Consider the following 7,318-nt stretch of genomic DNA (forward strand, 5'->3'; position numbering starts at 1 on the left):
TTTTCTGTCTCATTGATCTGTCCAATATTGACAGTGGGGTGTTAAAATCTCCCACTATTATTGTGTGGGAATCTAAGTCTCTGTAGTTCTCTAAGAACTTGTTTTATGAATCTGGGTGCTCCTGTATTGGGTGCATATATATTTAGGATAGTTAGCTCTTCTTGTTGCATTGATCCCTTTACCATTATGTAATACCCTTCTTTGTCACTTTTTATCTTTGTTGGTTTAAAGTCTGTTTTATCAGAGACTAAGATTGCAACCCCTGCTTTTTTTTTTCTTTCCATTTGCTTGGTAAATATTCCTCCACCCCTTTATTTTGAGCCTATATTTGTCTTTGCATGCGAGATAGGTCTCCTGAATACAGCACACCGATGGATGGGTCTTGACTCTTCATCCAATTTGCCAATCTGTGCCTTTTAATTGGGGCATTTAGCCCATTTATATTTAAGGTTAATATTGTTATATCTGAATTTGATACTGTCGTCATGATGCTACCTGGTTATTTTGCACATTCGTTGATGCAGTTTCTTCATAGTGTCATTGGTCTTTATATTTTGGTGTGTTTTTGTGGTGGCTGGTACCAGTTTTTCCTTTCCATATTTAGTGTTTCCTTCAGGAGCTCTTGTAAGGCATGCCTGGTGATGACAAAATCCCTGAGCATTTGCTTGTCTGTAAAGGATTTTATTTCTCCTTCGCTCATGAAGTTTAGTTTGGCTGGATATGAAATTTTTGGTTGAAAATTCTTTTCTTTAAGAATGTTGAATATTGGCCCCCACTCTCTTCTGGCTTGTAGGGTTTCTGCAGAGAGATCTGCTGTTAGTCTGATGGGCTTCCCTTTGTAGGTAACCTGACCTTTTTCTCTGGCTGCCCTTCACATTTTTTCCTTCATTTCAACCTCAGAGAATCTGTCAATTATGTGTTTTGGGGTTGCTCTTCTCAAGGAGTATCTTAGTGGTGTTCTCTGTATTTCCTGAATTTGAATGTTGGCCTGTCTTGCCAGGTTGGGGAAATTCTCCTGGATAATATCCTGAAGTGTGTTTTCCACCTTGGCTCCATTCTCCCCATCACTTTCAGGTACACCAGCCAATTGTAGGTTTGGTCTTTTCACATAGTCCCATATTTCTTGGAGGCTTTGTTCATTCCTTTTCATTCTTTTTTCTCTAATCTTGTCTTCACGCTTTATTTCAGTAAGGTGATTTTCAATCTCTGATATCCTTTCTCCTGCTTGATCAATTTGGCTATTGATTCTTGTGTATGCTTCACGAAGCTCTCGTGCTGCATTTTTCAGCTTCATCAGGTCATTTATGTTCCTCTCTAAACTGGTTATTCTAGTTAGCAGTTCCTGTAATCTTTTATCAAGGTTCTGAGCTTCCTTGCATTGGGTTAGAACATGCTCCTTTAGCTCAGAAGAGTTTGTTACTACCCACCTTCTGAACCCTACATCTGTCAATTCATCAATCTCATTCTCTATCCAATTTTGTGCCCTTGCTGGAGAGGAGTTATGATAATTTGGAGAAGATGCATTCTGGTTTTTGGAATTTTCAGCGTTTTTACCCTGGTTTTTCCTCATCTTCATGGATTTATCTACCTTTGATCTTTGAGGCTGATGACCTTTGGATGGGGTTTTTGTTGGGAGGAGGTCTTTTATGTTGATGTTGCTGTTTTTGCTTTCTGTTTGTTAGTTTTTCTCCTAACAGGCCCCTCTTCTGCAGGTCTGCTGCAGTTTGCTGGAGGTCCACTCCAGACCCTATTTGCCTGGGTATCACCAGTGGAGGCTGCAAAACAGCAAAGATTGCTGCCTGCTTCTTCCTCTGGAAGCTTCGCCCCAGAGGAGCACCAGCCTGATGCCAGCTGGAGCTCTCCTGTATGAGGTGTCTGATGACCCCTGTTGGGAGGTATCTCTCAGTCAGGTGGCATGGGAGTCAGGGACCCACTTGAGGAGGCAGTCTGCCCCTTAACAGAACTGGTGCGCTGTGTGGAGAGAATCCCCCTTGTCAGGATCAGCTGCTCTCTTCAGCGCTGGCAGGCAGGAATGAATTAATCCGCTGAAGCTGCACTCACAGCTGCCCCTTCCCCCAGGTGCTCTGTCCCAGACAGATGAGAGTTTTATCTGTAAGCCCCTAATTGGGGCTCCTGCTTTTCCTTCAGAGATGTCCTGCCCAGTGAGAAGGAATCTAGAGAAGCAGTCTGGCCATAGCTGCTTTGCTGCACTGTGGTGGATTCTGCCCAGTCCAAACCTCCCAGCCTCCTTAGCACTGTCGGGGGAAAATCACCTACTAAAGCCTCAGTAATGGTGGATGCCCCTACCCCTACCAAGCTCGATGATCCCAAGTCGACTTCAGACTGTTGTGCTGGCAGTGAGAATTTCAAGCCAGTGGTTCTTAGCTTGCTGGGCTCTGTGGGAGTGGGACCCACTGAGCTAGACCACTTGGCTCCCTGGCTTCAGCCCCCTTTTCAGGGGAGTGAACGGTTCTGTCTCACTGGGGTTCCAGGTGCCACTGGGGTATGAAAAAAACTCCTACAGCTAGCTTGGCGTCTGCCCAAACAGCCACCAAGTTTTATGCTTGAAACCCAGGATCCTGTTGGTATAGGCACATGAGGGAATCTCCTGGTCTGCAGATTGCAAAAACCATGGGAAAAGCGTAGTACCCAGGCCGCGTAGCACAGTCTCTCATGGCTTCCCTCGGCAGGGGGAGGGAGGTCCCCCCGGCCCTTGCATTTCCTGGGTAAAGCGTTGCCCCATTCTGATTCTGCTCACTCTCCATGGGTTGCACTCACTGCCTAACCAGTCCCAATGAGATTAACTGGGTACCTCAGTTGGAAATGCAGAAATCATCCACCTTCTGCATTGGTGTCTCTGGGAGCTGCAGACTGGAGGTGTTCCTATTCTGCAATCTTGGCCCCTCACCTCTCTGTTTGTACTTCTCTCACTCTCTCCCTCAGAAATCTGAGTGAATAATTTCATCTTCCATCTTCCTAAAGTACTTGCTTATATGTGTTTTCTTACAGTAAGTTCATCTTTCTTCTTGAATATACAGAAGATCTCTGTAAACTGAAATTTTCTCAAGCAGGAGAGCCAGTTCTTAAGCATCTGGGTAAACCCTGGACCATTTCCACATCATATTGTATTTGTCTGCCTCTCTTTTGCCCATCTCTCCACTAGCCCCATCACATTTGAAGATGGGTGAGAACCATGTCTTCTTCACCATTGTATCCCAAGTGTCTGCCACAAAGCCTGGCACATAGTAGGCTCAGTGAAAACTTGTGGAATCAATAATAGCCCTCCCATTTCCTTGACCTCTTTGACCCTGTGATTTGGGCCTCCTGTTTTATTCAGCAACCACTGCTATTACTTGCAGTTTCCTACTTCACCTCTCAAACCTCGAACTCCGAAATGCCTTCTAGCTACCAAAATTTTCTGTCTTCTGGCGAACTTGTTCAACTCCATCTTTGTGACTGATGGCCCCCAGCCTCTCCTTATTCTTTCAGTTAGTCCCCCTCTGACTTCCCTCACCTCCCTTCCCAGTCCAACATTCTGCTCTGTTCTTTCCAGAGCCTTGGCTAGGGTGGGGTCACTGGGGCACAGAAATTTACAGGGCACCACATTTTTCTCCCACCACCTCTCTGGTCTCAGTTGGAAGCCTCATCCTGGCCCCCGGCCAGCCCACTTGGCAGCAGCAGAGATGGATGGAGTGAGAGGCCTGAGGTCAAGGGCTCAGAGCACACCAGCCAGGGGACCTTTTGTGCGTAGGGCTGCCCCTTCCCCCATCAAGAGCAGCTTCCATTGAAGAGAAGGCGAGTTTCACACTGCTTGCCCTGGGCGCCAAAAATGTTAGTTAGGACTCTGGTTCTGTCCCTGCTTCCCTCACCCCTTGATATTGTGCCAATCTCCATGCTGTTTTCTCTGCTTCAGAGCTACAGCAAGCTCTGTTGCTGGGCTTCCTGGGATCACTACCAGTCCCTGCTGCCTTTCCTTGGTGGACACTTGATGGCTGCTCAGCCATCTTTGTAACTGATATTCATATTGGGGTATATTTGTGTTGCAGGATGCAGGCGAGAGAGAGAGAGACACAGACACTTGAGCTGAGCTGCATAGGACTGACAAAAGAAGCCACAAGCCCCTTCACCTTTCTGAGACTCCTTTTCCTCATCTGTGAAATGGGAATGAAAATAGCATTCACCTTATAACATGTTCTAAGGAAAAAAGTACATGGCAGAATGTTTGGCACATATGATAATCATTCCATAGATGTAACTTCTCCTCTCTTAGTTTTGAATAATCTTCCTTTAGTTTACTTTTTCCAAGACTGTGGTGAGAATTAGATAAGAAAACTAGTGATCACACCTACTATAGTAGGTTTGATAAATGTCAGCCATGGCCAACTCCAGAGGCCAGGCAGTAGCTTTTCTTCTCCCCACCCACCTCACTACTTAACACCAACCCAGTCAGTAGGCTGAAAGACTCCTAAGAAAGTTTTTCTTTCAGGATCTACAAGCAAAACATTTTGAGTTGATGCCAAGAATGCTCATTGCCATCAACTTTGTCATAAAGAGGTCAGCCTTGGGTTTCAAATTCTGCCACTGAGTATTAGATTCCTTCTTCAGTGCAGTGGAAGTTTTAAATGCAACTAAAATCAAAGCCAGTTCTTCATATTGCTGGGTTTTAATAAGCCCAGGCACGTTATCATCCATGTTTTTGAAATTACAACCAAGTCCTAGGTAAGAATTGCAAAAAAAGAGGTTCCTGTAAAGTCCTTTACTTACTTTTCCCCAAATGTATTTCTTTTTCCAAAGCCCAGCATTCTATGTGCACGTTCATTGTATGTTGTTTCCAGCTGACTTACCCTTTAGAAAAGTCGTAACCACAGGAAATGCATGCCCTGGAAGTGACTCAGGCATTACAATAGCACATATCCTTCACACTTAGCCAGGCCTCCAAGGAAAGTTGACCAGTGGACTCACCACTCCATATAAACTAAATCAGATGGGATCTCTATTTGCCATACTTGGAAACATGTTATCATGTTAACATTTCTTTTTTTAAATAAATGAGTGGTGTTTTAAACTAGTTCATAGCATTTTCTGAGCAAAATATTTTAATTTTGATGAGGCTCAATTTAATTTTTTTTTCTTTTATGGTTGTGCTTTTGGTATAAAGTCTAAAAGCCCCTGGTCCTAAAGACTTTCTCTTATGCTTTTTATTTTTTCTGAAAGTCTTACATTTTATATTTAAGTCTACAATCCATTTTGAGTTAATTTTCATAATAGATGTGAGATTTAGGCCAAGGTTCATTTTTTTGCCAATGTATGCCCAATTTCTTCAGCATCACTTGTTGAAAAGACTATACTTCCTCCATTGAATTACTTTTGCACTTTTGTCAAACATCATTTGGACATGTTGATATGGATCTGTTCCTGGGTTCTCTATTTTATTTATTTGATCTATCAGATCAATGTCTATTACTCAGCCAATACCACACTGTGTTGATTACTATAGCTACGTACTAACGCTTAATTTTAGGTAGAGTGACTATTCCCACATAATTCCTATTTTTTAAAGATTGTTTTAGCTACTCTAGGGCCTGTAGCTTTCCAAATAAATTTTAGAATAAGCTTGTCTATCTATGCCTACCAAAATCCTTACTGGTATTTTGGTAGGAATTGCATTGAATTTATAGATCAGTCTGGGAACAAGTGACATCTCTTCTATGTTGAGTCTTCCAATCTATAAACATAATATGTATCTGCAATTACTTAGGTATCCTTTGATTTCTTTCAATAGCATTTTATAATTCTAAGTATATAAGCAAGCCCTGTACATGTTTTGTTAGATTTATAACTATATCATTTTCTTTGAAGTGCTTGTAAGTGGTATTCGGTTTTTCATTTTGTTTTCCACATGTTCATTGTTATTGTAAAAATATAATTGATATTTATGTGTTAATTTTGTATCCTGTAACCTTAATGAACTCATTTATAAGTTCTAAGACTTTTTGTGTTATTTCCTTGGGATTTTTTAATTTAAATTTTAATTTTTGTGGGCACATAGTAGGTGTATATATTTATAGGGTACATAAGGTATTTTGATACAGGCATGCAATGTATAATAATTACATAATGTAAAATGAGGTATCCACACCCTCAAGCATTTATACTTTGTATTACAAACAATCCAATTATACTCTTTTAGTTTCTTTAAAATATACAATTAAATTGACTATAGTCACCCCATTCTTCTGTCAAATACTAGGTCTTATTCATTCTTTGTAACTATTTTTTTTTTTTGTACTCGTAAACAATCCCCACCTCCCTCTCCCCACCAACATCCCCACTACCCTTCTCAGCTTCTGGTAACCATCCTTCTACTCTCTATCTCCATGAGTTCAATTGTTTTGATTTTTAGATCCCACAAATAAGTGAAAACATGTGATGTTTATCTTTCTGTGACTGGCTTAATTCACTTAGCATAATGATTTCTACTTCCACCCATGTTGCAAATGATAGGATTTCATTCTTTTTTATGGCTGAATAGTACTCCATTATGTATATGTACCACATTTTCTTTATCCATTCATCTGGTTTTTTTTTTTTTTTTTTTTTTTTTTTTTGGGAGACAAAGTCTCACTCAGTTACCCAGACTGGAGTACAGTGGCACGATCTCAGCTCACTGCAACCTCCGCCTCCCAGGTTCAAGCAATTCTCCTGCCTCAGACTTCCAAGTAGCTGGGATTACAAGCACACGCCACCACACCCAGCTAATTTTTGTATTTTTAGTAGAAACAGGGTTTCACCATGTCGACCAGGCTTGTCTCGAACTCCTGACCTCAGGTGATCCGCCTGCCTCGGCTTCCCAAAATGCTGGGATTATAGGCATGAGCCACTGTGCCTGGCCCCGTTCATCTGTTGATGGACACTTAGGTTGCTTCCAAATTTGGCTATTGTGATCTATGCTGCAACAAACATGGGAGTGCAAATGTCTCTTCAACATGCTGATTTCCTTTCTTTTGGGTATATCACCAACAATGGGATTGCCAGATGATATGGTAGCTCTAGTTTAAGATTTTTGGGGAGCTTTCAAACTGTTCTCCATGGTGGTTGTATTTACATTCCCACCAACACTGTACCAAGGTTCTCTTTTGTCCACATACTTGCCAGCATTTCTTATTGCCTGTCTTTTGGATATAAGCTATTTAAATTGGGATGAGATAATATTTGTAGTTTTAATTTGCGTTCCTCTGATAATCACTGATGATGATCACCTTTTCATATGCCTGTTTGTCGTTTGTATGTCTTCTTTTGAGAACTGTCTCTTCAACTC

The 7,318-nt window shown here is 41.7% G+C and overlaps 2 annotated features.

Moving 5' to 3' along the window:
• Positions 3,178 to 3,678: an enhancer, noted in NCBI's record as "H3K4me1 hESC enhancer chrX:139355782-139356282 (GRCh37/hg19 assembly coordinates)". NCBI's record gives its function as "activates a minimal SCP1, AML or CMV promoter by ChIP-STARR-seq in naive H9 embryonic stem cells {active_cell/tissue: H9 hESC(naive)}" and the evidence as "EXISTENCE:reporter gene assay evidence [ECO:0000049][PMID:30033119]".
• Positions 3,667 to 4,866: an enhancer, noted in NCBI's record as "MED14-independent group 3 enhancer chrX:139356271-139357470 (GRCh37/hg19 assembly coordinates)". NCBI's record gives its function as "activates an origin of replication core promoter dependent on BRD2, BRD4, P300/CBP and CDK7 cofactors, and independent of MED14, by STARR-seq in HCT116 cells {active_cell/tissue: HCT116}" and the evidence as "EXISTENCE:reporter gene assay evidence [ECO:0000049][PMID:35650434]".

Source organism: Homo sapiens, chromosome X (genome assembly GCF_000001405.40).
Source record: "Homo sapiens chromosome X, GRCh38.p14 Primary Assembly".
Classification (NCBI taxonomy): Eukaryota; Metazoa; Chordata; class Mammalia; order Primates; family Hominidae; genus Homo; species Homo sapiens.